Source organism: Homo sapiens, chromosome 3 (assembly GCF_000001405.40).
Source record: "Homo sapiens chromosome 3, GRCh38.p14 Primary Assembly".
Taxonomy (NCBI): domain Eukaryota; kingdom Metazoa; phylum Chordata; class Mammalia; order Primates; family Hominidae; genus Homo; species Homo sapiens.
Window position 1 is genome coordinate 142,653,718 of NC_000003.12, and position 22,808 is coordinate 142,676,525.

The following is a 22,808-nucleotide window of genomic DNA, read 5'->3' on the forward strand; positions in this document are numbered from 1 at the left end:
TATAATACGTGTATATAGTATAAAAAGAGACCCCTTTATATCCAGATTTAAACAGAAAGTGAATTAGAAGATGATTCTAATTTGTTCATCAAAGAGCAATAATCATAAGATTGTACTATTTACAAAAAATCAGTTTAAATTAAACTTTTCAGGCATTAACAGTTGAACCTGATAAGCACTATATTGTATGAGTATAGTTTTAGGAGAAACTGATTCTTACCCATCTTTATATCTTCATTTAGCCCAGCCAAATAGGATTTATTTGTTGAATACATGAATGAATGAATTTAAACTCCCTTACTAGGGGCCACATGTTGGGGCTTTTAAGTAAATAGTAGAAAAGTCTTGGTGGCAAGTCTGACAGCCACTGAAGGCCATCCCAAATTGCAAATGCATGGGAATATAATGACCGTGGCTGGTCATGGAGATGACCATGGTGGCGGCCCGTGTGGTGAGGCAGTAGGGAGGGGATGTAGGTAAGCCCTGTCTGTTCTCTGCTTTGCTAGAAGATTTCTTTGTTTATATATCTAGTGTTTGCACAAGAGGATCAGAACTTAAAAGCTTCACCTAGGGAAGAATGAAGGCTATATCATTAACTCCTTTGTAAAATGATTAGGAAAAAGTTTACAAATACTATTATTTTTTTGAGACAGAATCTTGCTCTGTCGCCCAGGCTGGAATGCAATGGCACAATCATAGCTCACTATAGCCTCAAACTCCTAGGCTCAAGTGATGCTCCCATCTCAGCCTCCCAAGTAGTAGGACTATAGGTGCGTACCACCATGCCTGGCTAACTTAAAATTTTTTTTCTTTTTTTGTAGAGACAAAGTCTCACTATGTTGCCCAGGCTGGTCTTGAACTCCTGACCTCAAGCAATCCTCTGGCCTTGGCCTCCCAAAGTGTGGGGATTACAGCATGAACCACTGCCCCTGGCCCAACAAAAATTATTTTGATAGATTTAGAAGAAACACCATGTATAAACATGTGGATTAAAAAATTTGAATGCTGTCAAATTAGTCTTTGTGCTTCCAATACACAGCACAGTAAAGAGGTACAGCAAACAAGTGCTCAATAAGTTGTTGTTGAATAAATAAATGGGTAAGTGAATGAAGAGAACTGGTTATTGACGTATAGAAACTCTTCATCTCCTCTTGTCAGTTGGTGGCACATTTCCCATAAACTGTTGTTTTATTTGGCCCTTTGTTATCTAGTACTCCTTATGCTCTGTGAAGAGAAATATTAGAGAAATATTACCTTTAATGAATTTTACTAACCTTTCCCCACATATACAACACAAGGCCAGTGGGAATATAAAAATATAAAATATCCTTTACCTGCAAGGAGCAAACAATGATAGGAAGGTGGGATGAAAATAAAATAGCAAAATAAGACCATTACAACACAACACATAACCAAGAATAAATTAATGTACATGAACGGAATAATACATAAGAAATGAAGACACTGAGCAAAGGAAAAGACAGAGGTGATGAAGTCTTATGCCAATGGGAAGGCGTTAAGGATATGGGGGAATCGGCCTTCCAAGCTGTCAAGTTGAGAGTGGAGAACAGAGACCGCATTAATTTGGCAATGTGGGGTATAATGAAATGGTAAATACTTGGGAAGACTGAAGCAGAAAAAAGTCCCAATGTTAAAATAACAGTGTATTGTTATTTTTTGTTTTTGTAGGAGATTGTCAGGCCTCCCTTTAAGAGATCACAAGCCGGGCACCGTGGCTCATGCCTGTAATCCCAGCACTTTGGGAGGCTGAGGTGGGTGGATCGGCTGAGGTCAGGAGTTCGAGACCAGCCTGGCCAACATAGTGAAACTCCGTCTCTACTAAAAATACAAAAAATTAGCTGGGCGTGGTGGCGGGCGCCTGCAATCCCAGCTACCAGGGAGGCTGAGGCAGGAAAATCGCTTGAACCTGGGAGGTGGAGGTTGCAGTGAGCTGAGATCATGCCATTGCACTCCAGCCTGGGCAACAAGAACAAAATTCCGTCTCAAAAAAAAAAAAAAAAAAAAGATCACAAAAGAGTTAGTCAGTTTGGAACCAGTGTCACTTTACCCCCGGTGCGCTGTTCCTGGCTTAACACTTCATAATGGTGCATAATTGAAGTTCTCGAGGTCTCTAGGATTGTCTAAGCATGTGGGAAATTATTTTATGTGTTTGAAAATAAAATTGTCTTTTTAAAATAGCCCAGGATTTGGCAAATCCAGGCTGTTGGCAATCAAATTAATTACTTTTTTTTGTTTGTTTTTGAGATAGAGTCTCACTCCGTCACCCAGGCTGGAGTGCAGTGGTGCAATCTCAGTTCACTGCAACCTCCACCTCCCTGGTTCAAGCAATACTTGTGCCTCAACCCCCCAAGTAGCTGGGATTATAGGTGCATGCCATCAGGCCTGGCTAATTTTTGCATTTTTAGTAGAGACAGGATTTCACCATGTTGGCCAGGCTGGTCTCGAACTCCTGACCTCAAGTGATCTGCCTGCCTTGGCCTCCCAAAATGCTGGGATTACAGGCATGAGCCACTGCACTCGACCAATTTTTAAGAAAAGTTTTCTATCATAGCTGTCCCTTGTGAATGAATGAAAAAGTTGAGCTCAGTTATTTTAGTGCTGAAGGATGCTCAGGAAATCTTTGAATTATATTGCACCATTTTCATATATTTTACCCTTTGTCCAAAGGACAGTCAAGGCTGTTATGTAGAGTAGGAGACTAATATTTAACAAAATAAATGATATCCCAATTCATACTTATATTCAACAGTCAGTAGACATTCCAGTTAAAGAAAATCTGATAAAAAATGGACAGGTTGATATGGAATATGAATACTTACTTTTTCCAAAATGAATGATACAGCTCCCTGTTGTGAAATGTTGTTGAATAAGGAGATTGCTAGACATATAGATGAAAATATTTTCCAGGTTTTCCTTTAAACTAGAAGGAAAATTCTTCAACTATTTCATAGCTGTTTTTTTTCACATAGTGATTTATTTCAGTGACCTTGTGATCTGTAAACTTGTAATGGAGGGCTGAAAATGGGAAGTAACATAGGAAAAGGGAAGGGCTGTGGTGAGAGAGACAATAATTTGCAAAGAAGAAGAGGACATGGGGTACCAGTAGAACTTCTACTCACCAGAGATACTGAAATATTCTAGAACCTCTGATCTCAGTCAATTCTCCATAGGAACACTATCAAGTCTTTTTCCATAAAAGTCAGATAAAAGAAAGATCACATTTCTTGATATTCTTTGAAGCAACTTTATTTTTATTGTCATGCTTCATCCTGCCCGAATACTGCCAAGTCTTTCTCAGGCACCTGGAATCTGCTCCTCAGCCTCTGTTGTCCTGGGTCTAATGTAGAGCAAAAGGCTGAGAGGAAGCTCTTCTATTCTCCATCATCGGTCTTCAGTGGCTACCTGGGAAACACCCCTTGGCTTAGTCGGCAGATTCTCTCCGGTGAGGTTCTGTTGCACCTGCCACTCCTAGGGCAGCAAGCAGCAGTCTTACTTGCTGGCACCTAGAGATTTCCCTTCCTCCCTGTGGGGGCAATCTTTCCCTCTCACTGCCTTCCTCATCTAGTGGTTTCTCAGAGGTGGCCTCTTCCCCCTGATCCGATTGCCAGGACATCCAACCTAAGTAAGCCCTCTAGGAGGTTCATGCTTCTTCCCAAAGACTGAGGGAACCACAGATTCTAGCCTGGTTTTGCCTTCTGTGCTGCCAGAGTCCCTCAGATAAGAAAGTGTTATAGTGTTATTGCTGTTTTGTTTTGTTTTGTTTGTTTGAGACGGAGTCTCACATTGTCACCCGAGCTGGTGTACAGTGGCGCGATCTCTGCTTGCTGCAACCTCCCCACCTCCTGGGTTCAAGCAATTCTCCTGCCTCAACCTCCCAAGTAGCTGGGACTATAGGCGTGTGCCACCACACCTGGCTAATTTTTGTATTTTTAGTAGAGACGGGGTTTCACTGTGTTGGCCAGGCTGGTCTCAAACTCCTGACCTCATGATCCGCCCACCTCGCCCTCCCAAAGTGCTGGGATTTCAGGCGTGAGCCACCACGCCCAGTGTGTTATTGCTTTAATTGAGGAGGAAAAAGAATAAACACAATTTAACATTTCAATAAATTATTCTCCCACAATAATATTAATTATTTTAATTTCTCAAGATTGAAGTAGTTAAGTTTCCTAAAGCCTTGGTAAAATTTCCCCTGTTCAAAAACATATTCTTGGTCATCTTTATTTTTTATTATTTTTATGGCTTGATTTTCCTTTATTAGTGGCTTGTGGCTTTGGATTAAGAAGCATCCTTTTTTCTCTTTAAGAATAATTTTTTATAATATGAATTATTTAAAGCAAAAGACTAAAATACAGAATCAATATAACCTATGTCCATGTACTCACTTCCTAGATTGAGCAGACATTAGCATTTTGCCATAACTGCTTCAACTGTATCTTTAAAAAATATGTAACAGGCTGAGGACATTGGCTCATGCCTGTAATCTGAGCACTTTGAGAGGCTGAGGCAGGCAGATCACTTGAGGTCAGGAGTTAGAGACCAGCCTGGCCAACATGGTGAAACCCTGTCTCTGCTAAAAATACAAAAAAAATTAGCCAGATGTGGTGATGGGTGCCTGTAGTCCCAGCTACTCGGGAGGCTGAGGTAGGAAAATTGCTTAAACCTGGGAGGCAGAGGCTGCGGTGAGCTGAGATCATGCCACTGCACTCCAGCCTGGGCAACAAAGTGAGACTTTGTCTCCAAAAAAAAAAAAAAAAGATGTAACAGATTCAGCCCTACCCTGCAAGCCCTGCTCCTTGCCTCCCTCTACATAGACCACCACTATTCTGAATTTGTTGTGTTATTCTCATGTATGTTTAAGTTTTACTACATAGGTATGGGATCATAAGCAACATATATAGTATTTTGTGTTTTTATAATTTATAATAAATAGTATATTGTATGTATACTTCAGCAGTTTGCTTTTTTCATTTAGTATGATTTTGAGAAACAGATGTGATTCATTTGTTTTACTGATGTATACATATTGATTAAATAGTAATGTAAATATAGTTGGAAGAATTAACACTTTACAGGCTTGGTTTACTGGTTATTCACATTTTAGTGTTAAGTAGTCATCATTCCTTTCTTTAAAACTAGTTATGATGCTTGCCGTGAGAGAGTAGGAATGCTAATTGAACTACATGTAGAACTTAAGAACTTGGGCACTAGAAAAACATTTGCTTTTGAATCTCTTATTTTGTCTACCTTCCTTGGGCAGGTCACTTAATCTCTGTAGGCCTCAAATATACATTTTTAAGGGATGATGCTTGTACCATCAGTAGAGCAGATAAATGCGTAGTGAGCTCATGCATGTGAGGAGGTTAGCACAGTTCCAGACCCATTGAAAGCCCTCAATAAATATTTGCCATTATATTTCATATTTCTAGACGAGGAAGAATAAAGGAAAAAGGAAATTTTGGAGGATGGATAAGGGGAAAAGCTGGCTGACCCGAGTCAGGGGCTAGCTTGAGAAGTCAGAATTTCAAGTGACCTGTGACAGGGCCACTGTGGAAGATGGGAAAATAGAATAGCTGGGAAATGAAAAGGTGCCTTTGTGGAAAGCTATAAATTATTTCACTATTTTAATCATAGATTTTGCTTTGTAAAGAAACATAGGTGCTCTTATTTAAAATGGTCACTATAGGTACTGTATATATAATTTTATCATTATCAGTATTCAGTAATGTGTATCTTTAGACCACTAGTATTTGTTTCATTTTTTTTAAATGTTTTACCAAAATTGCCTTTGCTTTTCAGTTATTTGTTTGTTTTGGTAGGCTGATAGTCTAAAAAACTGAATACAAAAAGCATATAATGAAGAGTAAGCCTCTTCCTAGTCTGCCTCAGTCTCCATTTCTCCTAGAGGATCAGTTCCTCTTCCACTTTTCTTTTTTCTTTTTTTTTTTTTGTTGTTGTTTTGTTTTGTTTTGTTTTTTGAGATGGAGTTTTGCTCTTGTTGCCCAGACTGGAGTGCAATGGCGTGATCTTGGCTCACTGTAACCTCCGCCTCTTGGGTTGAAGCAATTTTCCTGCCTCAGCCTCCTGAATAGCTGGGATTACAGGTGTGTGCCACCACGCCTGGCTAATTTACTTCCACTTTAAGCACGAATCATTTTAAGTGGAACCTTCTTTCATCAATTAAAGCCTCTTTTTTCCTTGCCTAATCCTCAAGTATACCGTGACACAACCAAATATATATTTGGAAAGTTAAAGAAGCACATTCTAAAAGAGACTTTTGAAAATTTAGATAAAATTGGATTTGATCTTTTATCCTCCCTCAGATTTCTTCCTTGAGCCTTTTAAAAGTTTACCAAAGTTAGTCCGAGCAGTTGTTTATGATTGGCAGAATCTAAAACCCTTCTTAGAACAGTTTCAGGAAAAAAAAGGCAATAGAAACAACCCTGAATTGCCATGAGACTAACAACGTAAAAATCACAACTGTTACCATTTTTTTGTACCCTTCCAGAAAATGTTGTATAAACATACAGCTGATACCATCACTCTCCCTGCCACACTTACTTTTCTGTATCTTGTTTTGTTTTTTTGAGAGTACAGATGCTCCTTAACTTAGAGGAGTCCCATTCCAATAAACCCGTCCTAAGTAAAAAATATATTTTGTATACCTAATCTAGTGAACGTCATAGCTTAGCCTTGCATACCTTAAACATGCTTAGAATGCTTACAGTATCCTAAAGTTGGGCAAAACTTTCTGACAACGTGGTAAATGTAGAGTATTGGTTGTTCACCCTTGTAATCGTATGGCTGAACGTGGCTCACCACCTCTGCCCAGCATGGTGAGAGTATCATACCGCTCTCTGCTGACTGTGTGTAACTTCCACACCATTGTGAAGTTGAAAAATTCTAAGTCAAATCATCGTAAGTTAGGAGCTGTCTGTATACAATCTTGAAGATCCTTTTATATTTTTCTGTTTGTTTCATTTCAATGCCAAAGGATTCAAAGCAACATCTTTACACTTATTAGCTATAAAAACAAAGCTTTAAAGATAGGAAACAACGTTGTATGGGTAAATTGCTTTTTTGATAAGTTTACATGGTGCTTTTGCCTGGTTATAGGAGACTAAAAACATTTTATGTAATTAACAAATTATATAAATTTGAATAGGCATGAGCAAAGAATATAACCCCAGTTTTATTTTTATCATTTCAAATGCAAGGTCAACACAAACACTGTTAATTTGCAGCCTTTCTGTGGAGTGCAAATGCTAAAATTGGGCCCCTATTTTTAAAACTTGAGGCAAGGGATAGAAAGCATTTTGAATACAGGAAAGGATATGCAGGATGACTGAAACCACAGAGATTCAAAGCCAGCCACACCACAAGTAGCATTTTGCAGACCCAGGGAATTATGCTTAACAATCCTAAAAAAACTATTTAATCTCTTTGAACACAAAATAAGAATGTCTGTAAATAGTTTTAAATATAGTAAAGCTTTCTAAAGGTGAGAATCCAATGAAATGAGTATTTAATGCTAAGATGTAAGAAACTGCATCTGGGGAGTAAGATGACTTCTATTTACTCCTTTTTCTACTGACTTGAGCTCTTTAGAATTTTTTAAAAAACAATGTAGAATTAAATAGCGGACAATAGTATATTTAAAATAAGACCAAAAGATTAATTGCACATTTAATTAGAACCAGGCCCCAGAAAAATTGTAAGAGATAGAAATCTGTGATTTTGAAAGAACACCAAAATTCCTGAATAAATTTGTGTACAGATCACAAATGAGCCATACTCTTAGAGGGCTTCACACAATTTAATTTTTCAATGATCAATGAAATTTCAGTGAATAAATTATTTTGAAAATTGATGTGCTTCACTGAAAAATTAGGGATGATATTGAACCTTCTATATAAATACAAGTTTATAAAAGTGTATAAAAAAGAGGATTTTCCACTTAGCTTCAATTCCTATTGTTTTATAAAGCACTTGTTTTCACTTATTTTCTGAGGCACATATTAACTGTCTGATAGAACTAAGTGTTTATGAGAAATACAATATAATTCGTATTCATCTTTAGCTTTACACTGAATAGAAAAGCCACTAAGTCATTTTAAAAATAAGAGTTGTGGCTACTCTGTCTATGGAGTAGCCATTCTTTTATTCCTTTACTTTCTTAATAAACTTGCTTTCACTTAAAAAAAATAGGAACACTCTTACACTGTTGGTGGGAGTGTAAATTAGTTCAACCGTTGTGGAAGACAGTGTGGCAATTCCTTAAGGATCTAGAACCAGAAATACCATTTGACCCAGCAATCCAATTACTGGGTATATACCCAAAGGATTATAAATCATTCTACTATAAAGACACATGCACACGTATGTTTATTGCGGCACTGTTCACAATAGCAAAGACTTGGAACCAGCCCAAATGCCTATCAATGATAGACTGGGTAAAGAAAATGTGGCATATATACACCATGGAATACTATGCAGCCATAAAAAAGGATGAGTTCATGTCCTTGCAGGGACGTGGATGAAGCTGGAAACCATCATTCTCAGCAAACTAACACAAGAACGGAAAACCATTCTCACTCTGTATGTTCTCACTCATAAGTGGGAGTTGAACAATGAGAACACATGGACACAAGGAGGGGAACATCACACACCAGGGTCTATTGGGGGGTAGGGGCTAGGGGAGGGATAGCATTAGGAGAAATACCTAATGTAGATGGTGGGTTGATGGGTGCAGCAAACCACCATGGCACATGTATACTTATGTGACAAACCTGCATGTTCTCTGCACATGTATCCCAGAACTTAAAGTATAATAAAAATAAATAAGAGTTGCATTGCTAGATATCAGAAGTCTTAAAAATGTAAGTAATTCTACTTTTAGATATTTATCACACAGAATAAACATGGAGAAGAACAAAGATTTATCTGCAAGGATGTTCATTGAAGCATTATTTGTAATGAAAAATTAGAAGCAGTACAAATACTCTGAAAGAGGGGATTTACCAAATAAGTTATGATATAGTAATATGTAGCCATTAAGTATTATGTTGATGAACAACATGAAAACATAGTGACAATGTGTTAGTACCAACAAAAAGGTTATAATATTGTATGGTCACATTGTTCTCACCCCCAAAAAGGTACACATGTGTTTTGAAAGTAGGTCAGAAGGGGGCCGGGCTCAGTGGCTCAGCGTCTGTAATCCCAGCACGTTGGGCGGCTGAGGTGGGTAGATCACTTGAGGTCAGGAGTTCGAGACCAGCCTGGCCAACATGGTGAAACCACGTCTCTACTAAAAATACAAAAATTAGCTGGGCATAGTGGCACATGACATGACTGTAATTCCAGCTACTGGGGTGGCTGAGGCAGGAGAATCGCTTCAACCTGGGAGGCTGAGGTTGCAGTGAGCTGAGATCGTGCCATTGCACTCCAGCCTGGGTGAAGAAGTGAGACTCTGTCGCAGAAAAAATAAAAAAAGAAAGTAGGTCAGAAGGATAAAGACAACAAAATTATATTTGTTGATATTTCTGGATAGAAGGATTATGAGTAATGTTAATTTTCTGTTTGGGACATTCATTATCAATTATTTTCTGCAGTGAACACACACCACCTTGTGACTTTTCCTATAGCCCAGTTTTACATAATTTTTTCCTCTTTAGTTTGTCTTACTCAGAATACAAAAGCCCCCTTGCCCCCAACTTTCGAAGGCCAAGACAGGAGGACTGCTTAAGGCTAGGAGTTCAAGACCAGCCTGGACAACATAGTGAGATCCTGTCTCTACAAAAAACTTAAAAAATTAGCTGGGTACAGTGGCACATGCCTGTAGTCCTACCTATTCAGGAGGCTGAGGTGGGAGGATCACTTAAGCCTAGGAGTTCGGGACTGCAGTGAGCCACAATCATGCCATAAAAAAGAAGAGCCCCACAGACCCTCAGAGACTTCACATGGGGTAGGGGAAAGAATGTGGCAGTGGTTGGATATTGTAAAGCTGAATGTTAAAACCACAAATCCCATTATAAGATAAGCAGATGCTGAATTCACCTTTTTTGTAGACATTATTCGTGTCTTAAAAAATTTTACTTTCTGACCTTATGCTGTACATTTATAAATGCTATACTTTTCTCAAACTTGAAATGCAATGCTTATTTTCTTGAAATCGTGGGGTAAAATGCAAATAGAAATTATTAATTCATTAGGCTATTGAGAAATATCTGTGTAAAAGCACAAGGTGAGAAAAATAGGTGTTTCTTCCCCTTACTGAGTCTCAGTTATAGTTTGGCTGGCCTATGCTGAGAGATTGTTACCAGGGGACCTACTCATATTTGTTCTTTGTCAGCCAGATCTCATAGATAATTCCTCCTAGAGAATGTACTTCCTCTGTACCTTATATTGCTTAGTTAAATGTTTCCAAAGGCTTCATGCTTTTTTTATAATATTGCTTTTTCTAGATATAAAGACCTGAAGATAGTCTTTTCTGTCCAAAGATGGAAAACAGTACTACTACCATTTCTCGGGAGGAGCTTGAAGAACTACAAGAGGCATTTAATAAAATAGGTATGCTTGAGAAAAAGTAAATATGATATTACTGGTCTGCTTGATGTCAGACTTCAGGAATGGAAAAATACCTTTTATTTCATCTACCACCACCCAATTACCTCCAGATTTATTCCTTTTTTTCTATCTAGGTTTCACTGGATTCTTTCTTTCTGAAAGATAAGCTACGACTAGCTTGAATTTCTAGGTGAATTGGACTTTGAATTCTTTGATCATTTCTTTGCAGAGAGTAATCCAGGTTAATGAATGACAATGTAACTGAATACACTTTACACGGTATCCTTATTACAGAGAAAAAAATATAAAAATACTTCCTTGTGTATAAACTGAACTCTGGCCTTCACATCTTTGCACTAACAATAACACTTTCTGACTTCATGCAGAATATTTTTAAAATCTCAGTATTGTTTTTAAATGCCATATGTCTTATTTTCCTTCTCCCACATGCATAATTTAGAAAGTCTTAGTATTGTTTTTAAAGGCCGTATGCCTTATTTTTCTTCTTTCACTTTTTATAGCCATTTAGTGTTTTGTCTTTATGACATTATCATTTTGACAGTTTTGTATTTTTCTTCCAAAAAATTTTCCTCATACTCTGTTGGATCTCAATTCTTCTGCAATTTGCTCTTAGGAAACCCATGGTAAACAGGAGAATATAAATACCTTTTTTTTTTTTTGCTTTAGTTTGCAAATGCATGCAAGTGAAAGGTGAACCCAGTGAAAGGTGAGCACAGTGAATAGACATTGGGATAATGACACCACTATGTTTGCCCCTTACTCATCAAGCTCATTCTCTAGTGTAATAGAGCCCTCCATGAAAAACAGTCATATGGTAGATCAGGGAGGAGAAAATGATCACCGCTGGTCTTGTGCTTAGATTTCTCACAAACCTAATAACGACTAAAATTAATGTGAGTAAAATATCATGCAACATGAGTTTTATTGACCAATACAAAGAAAAACGATATGTTTAAAAAAAAAAAGCACTCCAAAAAAAAAAAAAACCAAAAAACTGTGAAACTCAGGAAGCTCATGTTTTACAAATCATTACTGTGAAATAAAGTAAACTAAATTCTACAAATCTCTGGGCTCTTCCATTTCTCCCTGGGAATGGCATATTTGTCATTAGAGCATTGTATGAATATGGTATGATTTTCAGAAAACAATCATACATTTTATAGAGAATTGTATGTAGTGTCCAGAATCTTTTCAAAACAAAAACTGGGCAATTGTTGAAATGTTCTGCTCATTCTGAGCATTGAAACAGAGGAAGTAATAAAAATGTATCTCGTAGTTTGATATTTCTGTTATTTTATAGATGCAGTTTTGTAGCTTGAATAAAAGTTCTACCCAGGTCTTGGTAAAATAAATGAATTAGTAATATATTTGCTTTGTTTAGCACAACAACTTTAATCTTTGACTCATGAACATATTAATATAATCTTGCAATATTTATTTAATGATATATTGAATAAACAATTCACTGATGGAACAATTTTTTTTTTTTTAACAAAACCTTGTGTTGAGGGCTGACTTTCAATAGATTGTAGTGAGGGAGCTGCTCTGCTAGGTACAAAACCCCAACCCAGAAGCAGGTCCTTGATGGAACAATTTTGAGAGCAAGATAATTTGTTCTGTTTGAGCAAAGCAGTAACACTAGCAGAATAGGTACTTGCTGACTTTATTTAGGAGGTAAACTGCTACTCTGTGAACTCAGAAACCTCTCTGCTAATTTGTAGCACACTTTTCTCAAGGATAGAGGAACACGGCCATCCAATGTTATTAGATGGAGTATTTGGGGGCCACTGGGGAGAAGGGGGAAGTTGAAATATTTCTCTGTATTGTTTCTTTTTGAAATTGTGGTAAAATATACATAACAGAATTTACCATTTTAACCATTTTTAAGTGTATAGTTCATTAGCATTTAGTACATTCACATTGTTCTACATTCATCACCACCATCCCTTTCCCAAACTGAAACTCCATATCCATTAAACAATAACTCCCAAGCCCCAGGTGACCATCATCCTACTTTCTATATGAGTGTGACTACCCTAGGTACCTCACATAAGTGGAATCACATAATATTTGTCTTCTTGTGACTGGCTTATTTCACTTAGCACAATGTCCTCATCAACAGCTTCATCCATGTTGTAGCCTGTGTCAGAATTTCCTCCCTTTTTAAGGTTGAATAATATTTTATTGTATGTATATGCCACATTTTGCTTATCCATTCATCCACTGATGGCCATTTGGGTTGCTTCCACCTTTTGGCTATTGTGAATAATGCTATGAACATGGGTCTACAAATACCTGTTGAAGTCCCTGCTTTCAATTATTTTGAGTGTAAACATAGTAGCGGAATTGCTACATCATGTGATAATTCCATATGTAATTTTTGGAGAAACTACCATACTGTTTTCCATAGTGGAGGCACCATTTTACATTCCCACCAGTGGTGTACCAGGGTTCCATTTTCTTCACATCCTCACCAACACTTGTTTTCTGTTCTTTTGGATAATAAGCATTCTCCTAGGTGTGAAGTAGTATCTCATTTTATTTGCATTTTCCTTATGACTAGTGATGTTTAGCATCTAATGTGCTTATTGGCCAATTGTATATCTTCTCTGGAGAAATGTCATTTCAAGCCCTTTGCCTATTTTTGAATCACGTTGTTTTGTTGTTGTTGTCGAGTTGTAAGAAAGTCCTGTTTTCTTTTCAAACTGTGATCTTTATGGTTATTTAACTTAAGCCTTTATTTCCTCACCTTTAAAATGGGAATGACATTAGTAACCACCTCAAAGTTGTTGTAAGAATTTCATGAGATGGCCGGGTGCGGTGGCTCACGCCTGTAATCCCAGCCCTTTGGGAGGCCGAGGCAGGCGGATCACAAGGTCAAGAGATTGAGACCATCCTGGCCAACATGGTAAAACCCCATCTGTACTAAAAATACAAAAGTTAGCTGGGCGTGGTGGCATGTACCTGTAGTCCCAGCTACTTGGGAGGCTGAGGCAGGAGAATCGCTTGAACCTGGGAGGCAGAGGTTGTAGTGAGCTGAGATTGCACCACTGCACTCCAGCCTGGCGACATAGCGAGACTCCGACTCAAAAAAAGAATTTCATGAGATAAGTCAAGTTCTTATCGCTCCACTGCACTTCAGCCTGGCGACAGAGCAAGACTCTGTCTCGAAGAAAAAAAGAAAAAAACAATTTCATGAGATAAGTCAAGTTCTTAACAAGTCACTTGGCTAAGCATATATGTGCATTAGATGGTTTCTATTAGTTCTTGTCATGTCACACCAAAACCACAGAGGGCCTAGGGATGGAGCCTGGGAGCTTAAGCCCCCATATCTGTCTTCAGAATCCTAGCTCTTAACTAATCCTGTTAGTTTAACATGATCGTTATTAGGCAAATAACTTCCTCAGTCTTGTTTATTTTAAAATATTTCCTGCTATTATGCTGGTTTAGAAATAAGCCAGCCTAATCTATGTGTGTATTTCAGAATTATGGGAAACAGTTCTGAACTGGTCATGTAATGAGATTTTTCTCTAAATTCAAAGAAAGCAATATTATTGCAATATCAAGCAACTTAGCTTCCTAGCTGAATTTTGCAATTATACCAATATTTTGGTTATTGGTGGTTCTAGTTTAGAAATATTCTATCATTCTGAACAGTATTAATTCTAAAACTTTCATATGAGAGTTCCAAAGAAAAGTTTCTATCCTAACCATTAATTCAGTTAGTATAGCAGCTCTTTTATTAAGAAGAACAAGAAATATAGGAAACAAAGCAGCTATTAGCAGATGAGCAAAGAGAGCCTATACAAGGTGGATCCAGGCAACAAAACAGTGCAAAGCTCTGCTGTCAACTCTGGGCAGAAGCGTTTTGTGTTGCCTTTGTTCTGAGTCAAGAAGTGATACCCGGCCTCTAGGGAAAACCTAGGGAAGGGCATCTCTCAATGATGCCATGACATGAAAACACCTGGAAACCTGTTTCCCAAAGTCCAAATATAGGTGTGAATTTCTTGAACACCTAATCTCAAATGACATCAAGCATGATTCAGCATACGTAATGGTATCATGAATACATAATGAAGAAGCAATGAATTATTGACAGATGAAACAGAACTGCCACCAAATGAAACGTAGAACACAAATGCCTTATGCGTATTTTACACAGCGCATGTATTTTATATGGAATGTGGGGTCAGCAGATTTATTTTCTAAATTCCCTCAAGAAGTTAAAGTCTGAGTGGGTGCTCCCTTTTTAGCTATCTGTGACTTCCCCATGCTTATTCCTTTTTTTTTTTTTGAGATGGAGTCTCGCTTTGTTGCCCAGGGTGGAGTACAGTGGCGCAATCTCGGCTCACTGCAACTTCTGCCTCCTAGGTTCAAGTGATTCTCTTACCTCAGCCTCCTGAGTAGCTTTGATTACAGGTGCCCGCCACTATGCCCAGCTAATTTTTCCATTTTTAGTAGAGATGGGGTTTCACCATGTTGACCAGGCCGATCTCAAACTCCTGACCTCAGGTGATCTGCCTACCTCGGCCTCCCAAAGTGCTGGGATTATAAGTGTGAGCCACTGCGCCTGGCCCCCCCCATGCTTATTTCTTTGATGCTTAGTCATGTGCTAAAACTGGGTTTTCTATCAGAGCAACAATACCCTTAAAATATATATGGTGGCCCTAAATCTATGGGGATAAACTCGATTTAAATATATACAAAGTTTTTGTTTTGTTTTTGTTTTCGTTTTTTAAGAGATGGGGTCTCACTCTATTGCCTAAGTTGAGGGGCAGTGGTGCGATCATAGCTCACTACAGCCTCGAACTCCTGGGCTCAGGCAGTCCCCTCACCTTAGTCTCCCAAATAGCTGGAACTACCAAGCCTGGCTTAAATACGAGTTTTTAAAATAAAGCATATAGCATATTCTGTACAGTTCAGGTACAGGAAAAAAGGTTACTGCCACCTGTGAAACAAATGTGAAAGGCTCTGTCTGCACATCTATGAATCCTCCCAAAAGGCATCCTTATTGTACACCTTCAACAAAGATTACAAAATATATTTTATAATATATCTTTACAGATATTGACAATAGTGGGTATGTCAGTGACTATGAACTTCAAGACCTGTTTAAGGAAGCAAGCCTTCCTCTGCCTGGCTACAAGGTGCGCGAGATTGTGGAGAAAATTCTATCAGTTGCTGACAGCAACAAAGATGGCAAAATCAGTTTTGAAGAGTTTGTGTCAGTAAGTAATCTAATCCTTTCGGGCTACTGATAATCTTGCTTAGAGCAGAATTGTAGTAATGTCATCACTAGCTTTGGTTAAATCCAGCTTCAGAGACCAGAAAAAGGACTGCTTTAAAATGATGATGATGATGATGACAATAACTATTATTATCGAAATAATTTCCACAACTAATTCATAAAACAAAGGAAAAAATTATTCTCAAATTGTTGGAATGGAAATCAGGTTTAGATAATAGTAATTCATTCCCTAGAATAACTAGGTGAGTTCAATGCTTATTGACCATTAATATAATTGAATAAATATTTATGAAATATAAATTGTCTGGTTTTGCATTCTTTATTGATTAAGCAGGTATTTTAGCTCTTCTCTTCCTAGAAATTTTGCTAGGCACTGTGAGTAATGTGATGAGTAAAAAGAAACGTGATTCCTGTCTTCATGGAGTTTATATGTGTGGAGAAGACTGCATTGCACAAATTGATAAAAGATAATTGGAGAATTGCTATGACAGAGTGGTACAGGTCCTGTGAGAGTTTGTGGTAGAAGGAATTGAATTTGGAGGCAAGGCTGGATAACCCAGGGACTCAGGGAAGGTATCCCTACAGTGTGAAGACTGTGATGTGTTCTGAAGAAAGATGTTAAACAGATAAAAGTGGGTTGTGGGAAAATGAATAATGTAGGAGGCAGGTAGACATGACAGCATGTGTAGAGTCCCTGTGGCTTTAGAGATGGTGAATATTCTCAAGCAACTGAAAGAAGGTTTGTGTGACTGGAGCTGAGATGGTAAGGGTAAGGAATGTAGCTGGAGAAGTAACTCAGAATCAGGTCACACAGGGCCATGTCGAATTTTTGTTTTTATCCTAAAAGCAATAGGAAGACAATGAAGTGGGAAGAATAGAATGTGAAGTGACAAGATCAGATTTGCATTTAAAAAAAAACCCAATCACTTTGCTGCAAGCAGAACTGATTGAATTGAGTCTTGCCAATCTCTGGTGAGTCCAGTGAGAGAGTGATTGGGAAAGGGAGTTTCTGTAAGCCTATGTTATTTCCTCTAAGAGCTGACTTATTTTATCATGAATGCATTTGAGATGTTCAGGCAGGAAAATATCTTCATTAAGGCATTCTTCTATCTTTAGCATGTAGTTAGTTATTTCTTAGGTTTTCAGTACAAAAGATTATGGCAAGCCAAGAAGAATAATTTCAGTGTGTTCAATTTAAGCTTAGTTATAAAAAATTTATTCCACCGTTTGGGGTTCAAGTATTTGTCTATTTTGTGTTATTGGTAAAATGATGAAAGTTATCTGTGTATACAAGCAATAAGTACAACTGACTAGTATTTAATTTGGTGTCATTTCAAATAAAGAAGTGTAAATAAATATCCATTTTGTCAGGTTTTTATTGATTATCTGATTCTCAATTTTACTTATGTTCCATTCCAGCTAATGCAAGAATTAAAAAGCAAAGATATCAGCAAAACATTCCGAAAAATAATTAACAAGAGGGAAGGGATTACTGCTATTGGAGGAACTTCAACTATTTCCAGTGAGGGCACACAGCATTCTTATTCAGGTAACTGACTTCTCCAAATTTGATCTTTTAGTCACTGATTCATTGATTAAGTGACATATTTAATCAGTTCTAAGATGCCACTCATTGTGATTCATACCGTTATTTTATGTGCCACTGAGGAGAAAAAAATACTGCAGACCACAGTATAACATGCCATTGAATTTGAAATACATCTCAGTTTCACAGATGTCAAAATGAAAAATCCTAGAATCATTGAAATCAATGAGTTCCTGCTGTGTATCAGGCTCAGTCTACAGAAACAAGATTATAAACAACAAAGTGGAAGTTGTTTATACTCCAGCATTAGATGTATTTAAAAGTGGCTTTTCAATGGCTTTTCATCCTGACTGATGAGGTGGCTTTACTTTTAGACCTGAGCTAGGAATGGGGGAGAGGCTTCTATCACAAGGATTTTTCTCTTCCATTTTCTGAGATCTGAGATACCCGATTCACCTTTTATCTAGTAACCAAGTGACTAGAGAGCATAGCACCTGATTTGCTTGATCTGATTAAACCACTGGACCATTGCCCAGTGGGAAATGCAGAAGCATATCAACTTTTAAGATGAGGTGTCTTCCCCGTGTTAAGTTATCTAAGATGTCTAAGAACCTTTGGCCAAGTTCTTTTTATTTATATGAACATAACTAGAACTATGCTTTTTGGCCTTTTGACAAAATTACCTGTAACCTTTTCCCCTCTTTCTTCATTTCAGATCTGAATCTGTTAATTATCCTCTTGATTCTGTCCCTTCCTAATTGGATTTTCCTCTAGCGATACACTCAAATTTCTCTCATCTATTATATGTTTTTCCTAACTTTTTCCCACTAGGGAAGCAGCCATAAAGGCAAAGGTCCATAACTGTTACCTTCACTTTTTGAAAGGTATTCACCCCTTAACCCAGTTTCTGCCTGTCAATTCTACTGAAGTGGCTTCTTTTTAAAGACAAAAAAAAATTATTAAGGTATAATACACATTCAGCAAAGTGCTATAATCTTAAGTATATGGCTCAATGAATTTTTCCATGTGTATATACATTCATGTAGCTGCCAACCAGAACAAGACATGGAATCTTTTCATCACCTGAAGACTCCCTCATTCCCCTGATAGTAACTATTCTTCCCTAGAGGTAACCTCTTTTCTGATATTTGTCACCATAAATTTTTGTTTACTTATTTTTTGAGGTATAAGATACTTGTAGTAAAGTGCATGAAGTGTACTTTTTTTTTTTTTTTTTTTTTGAGATGGCGTCTCGCTCTGTCGTCCAGGCTGGAGTGCAGTGGTGCGATCTCGGCTCACTGCAAGCTCCACTTCCCAGGTTCACGTCATTCTCTTGCCTCAGCCTCCTGAGTAGCTGGGACTACAGGTGCCCGCCAACACGCCCAGCTAATGTTTTTGTATTTTTAGTAGAGTCAGGGTTTCACCGTGTTAGCCAGGATGGTCTCGATCTCCTGACCTCATGATCCACCCGCCTTGGCCTCCCAAAGTGCTGGGATTACAGGCATGAGCCACCACACCAGGCTGAAGTGTACTATTCTTAAGTATATGGCTTGATGATTTCTTTTAACCTATGAATACACCTATATAACTATTCTCTAGAAAAATATATGGAATATTTAATGGCTTTTATAAAAAATAGCAGCTTTATTGAGATATAATTGACATACCATGGAATACATTTTTAAAGTATACAGTTCAGTAGTTTTTAGTGTATTCATAGTTGTGCAATTGTCATCACTATTTAATTTCAGAACACTTTCATTACACCAAAGAAGAACACTATATTCATTATCAGTCACTCCCCATTTCCCTCTTCCCGAAGGCTCTGCAACCATTAAACTGCTTTCTATTTCTACAAATTTGCCTATTCTGGAAGTTTCATATAAATGGTATCATACTGTAGTGGCCTTTCATTTGACAGGCTTCTTCACTGGTGTAATATTTTCAAGGCTTATCCATGTTGTCACATATATCATACTTCATTCCTTTTTTTCTGACTGCAGCCTCGACCTCCAGAGTTCAAGGGATCCTCCCACCTCAGCCTCCCAAGTGCATAACCATGCCTCCCAAATGTGTACCACCATGCCCAGCTAATTTTTCTATCTTTTGTAGAGATGGGGTTTTGCTATGTCACCCAGGTTGATCTTGAACTCCTGGGTTCGAGCGATCTGCCTGCCTTGGGATTACAGGTGTGAGCCATGGTACCTGGCCCCTTCATTCCTTTTTATTGCTGAATATTCCATTCTATGGGCAATACCACATTTTGTTTATCCTTTCATCAGGTGATGGACATTTGGGTTGTTTCTAGTGTTTGGCTATTATAAATAATGCTATATGAACACTCATGAATGCATTTGTGTGTGGACATATACTTTGAATTCTCGTAGGCATATACTTAGGAGTAGAATTGCTTGAATTTTTGTTAACTCTATGTTTATCATTTTTAAAGAACTGCCAAATTGTTTTCCAAAGTGGCTGCACTTGTGAGGGCGATCTGGCTGCGACATCTGTCACCCCATTGATTGCCAGGGTTGATTTGGCTGATCTGGCTGGCTAGGCAGGTGTCCCCTTCCTCCCTCAGTGCTCCATGTGAGTCCTTCCCGAAGCTGCGTGCTCGGTTGAAGAGGACAACCATCCCAATAGAAGAGGACTGGTCTTTGGTCAAGGGTATACGAGTAGCTGCACTCCCCTGCTAGAACTTCCAAACAAGCTCTCAAGGTCCAAAGTGGCTGCACCATCTTACATTCCCACCAGCAATGTATGAGGGCTCCAGTTTCTTCAATTCTCACCAACACTTGTTTTTGTCCATTTAAAAAATTACAGCCATCCTAGTGGTTGTGATGTGGTATCTCATTCCTGGTTCCTATACCTGAAACATCCTTTCTTTCCTTGCCTATATTCACCTATTGAAAAACTATATTTCAAATAGTACCTCCTCTATGAAGCCTTTTCTTGATCACCCTAACTAAAAGTGATTGCTTCTTTTTTTAAATTCTGCAAACATTGCATATATATTTCTGGTGGTGTGTGTATTTCCCTTATATCACATTTCTTTGTATATTTGTTTTACAATTACACTAAAAAATTCCTCAATGGCAGATACAGTATTTTAGTGATCTCTGAATTCCTAGACTCCAAATCCTTCTAAGGAGGTGTGTATGAGGAGGCGAGAAGATAAGGCAGATTATGATATGTACAAAGAGGAAATATTAGTACATATTTGTGTTTTTGTTGACTTGTGTGTGTATGTATGTGTGGTGGATTAAATTTTGGGGGTACCTGCAAAATATTCCCTTGGGAAAATTACTTAATTCTAGGAACTGGGGCAACAATGGAGAAGGCCAAATCATTATGTGCTACCCTCTGATGGAAATGGGGATTATTTACTTTAAGGATTTATAATCTTAAATGGTTTTTATATCTACAGAATAATAATAAAGTTGTACAATGTTTTTACTTTAAGTTCCTTCCTATTTTCCCCACTGCATAACCCAACAAAATTTTCTACTTAAGATCAATGTACCCATACTAGAAGCCATGTGTTGAGAAGTTGTTGGATGAAGATGGCCAAAGATAGTGCTGGTATCTAGATTTGTGTCAATTTTTTCTTCGTTTTTTGTTTTTTTGAGACAAGAGTCTTGCTCTGTTGCCCAGGCTGGAGTGCAGTGGCGTGATCTCGGCTCACTGCAACCTCCGTCTCCCAGATTCAAGCAATTCTCCCTGCCTCAGCCTCCAGAGTAGCTGGGATTACAGGTGCCTGCCACCACACCTGGCTAATTTTTGTATTTTTTAGTAGAGATGGGGTTTTGCCATGTTGGCCAGGCTGGTCTCAAACTCCTGACCTCAGGTGATCTGCCCACCTCAGCCTCCCAAAGTGCAGGGATTACAGGCATGAGCCACCGCACCCAGCCAATTTGTGTCAATTTTTTAATAGTTAAATTCCATTGAAATTGAGCTGTTTTATTCATTTGAATAACTCTTGACTGAATTCAGTATTTCTGTTGTAAGCTAAAAATCACAGCTCTCTAAACCTTTTGGGGAGGATGGGATTTATTGCCATGGTATTTGTTTCTTGTATTTTTTTCCTTATTTAATTAACATATACATATTTGACCTCCGATGGTCTGCTTCTGACTCATTAGCTTTCAGAAGCAATACATATTTGGAAATATTTTTGAATCAAACCAAATATATATTGTGCTCATTTAAGATATATACCTTCATCTCTCCTAATAGATCAGTTTTTTGTTTGTTTTTTTGTTTGTTTTTTGTTTTTGTTTTTGAGACAGAGCCTTGCTCTGTCACCAGGCTGGAGTGCAGTGGCGCGATCTCGGTTCACTGCAAGCTCTGCCTCCTGGGTTCATGTCATTCTCCTGCCTCAGCCTCCCAAGTAGCTGGGATTACAGGCCCACGCCACCATGCCCAGCTAATTTATTTTTGTTTATTTAGTAGAGATGAGGTTTTAACATGTTGGCCAGGATGGTCTTGCTCTCTTGACCTCGTGATCTGCCCGTCTCAGCCTCCCAAAGTGCTGGGATTACAGGCGTGAGCCACCGTGCTCCCCGTTTTTTTTTTTGAAAGGGTCTCTCTTTGTGGCTTAGGCTAAAGTGCAGTGGCAGGATCTCCACTCACTGCAACCTCCACCCCCCGGTTCAAGCAATCCTGAAGCCTCAGCCTCTCGAGTAGCTGGGACTATGGGCATGTGCCATTATGCCTGGCTAATTTTTGTATTTTCAATAGAGACGGGGGTTTCTCCATGTTGCTCAGGCTGGTCTTGAACTCCTGACCTCAAGTGATCAGCCCGCCTTGGAAGTGCTTTGGGAAGTGCTGGGATTACAGGCGTGAGCCACCACACCCAGCCACCTTTCTTCTTTTCTTGAACCCTTTTGTGTTTTAGTAGATTTGTAATAATGGTCAATTATTATCTTTGAGCAGAAATTAACAAGTATGTTTTTGTAGTGCAATAGCTATGTATGTTTTTATAGTGCAATAAAGTTTGTGAAATGAGATTTGCCTACCAAGGTTTTCTCCTTTCAGAGGAAGAAAAAGTGGCTTTTGTTAACTGGATAAACAAAGCCCTGGAGAATGACCCTGACTGTAAGCATCTTATACCCATGAATCCCAATGATGATAGTCTTTTCAAGTCACTTGCAGATGGCATCCTTCTTTGGTGAGTTGAACTTCTGGTTAAGGAAGCTGCGTTCTTGCTGATTACATTGATGAGCATTCCATGAAAACTCCAATTCAGCTGTCCATTGTCTTTTGGAGTCAGTAGCTACTTAGGTCATGAGGAATTTATATTGCATAGAAAATGAACTACTGTATATCTATTGGAAAATTTCCAAAATTTTCCTTCAAATACAATCCCTTGTTTTTCTGTTGCCTTTTACGTGTATTACTATAATA

General features: G+C 38.2%; 1 protein-coding gene, 1 long non-coding RNA gene and 1 pseudogene across 17 annotated transcripts in view; 2 read left to right on the plus strand and 1 right to left on the minus strand.

The window, feature by feature from the left end:
- Positions 1-3,093, minus strand: part of PLS1-AS1 (PLS1 antisense RNA 1) — a 60,902-nt gene extending 57,809 nt beyond the window's left edge. The window contains exon 1 of the long non-coding RNA XR_001740938.2: positions 2,841-3,093. This is a non-coding gene — a long non-coding RNA (PLS1 antisense RNA 1). The remainder of the gene's footprint in view (positions 1-2,840) is intronic.
- PLS1 (plastin 1) overlaps positions 1-22,808 on the plus strand; it is a 117,272-nt gene that overhangs the window by 57,325 nt on the left and 37,139 nt on the right. For 14 of the 16 annotated variants that reach the window (XM_011512903.3, XM_047448323.1, XM_047448324.1 and 11 more), the window contains 4 exons: positions 10,485-10,590; positions 15,673-15,836; positions 17,276-17,405; positions 22,440-22,572. In XM_011512903.3, the coding sequence (XP_011511205.1) occupies positions 10,521-10,590; positions 15,673-15,836; positions 17,276-17,405; positions 22,440-22,572 (497 nt within the window). In that variant the 5' untranslated portion in view covers positions 10,485-10,520. Of the gene's footprint in view, positions 1-1,689; positions 1,773-3,179; positions 3,464-10,484; positions 10,591-15,672; positions 15,837-17,275; positions 17,406-22,439; positions 22,573-22,808 lie in introns of those variants that run through there. The other 2 variants (XM_047448325.1, NM_001172312.2) reach the window with 2 other exon arrangements.
- On the plus strand, positions 19,885-20,125 carry RN7SKP25 (RN7SK pseudogene 25; annotated as a pseudogene).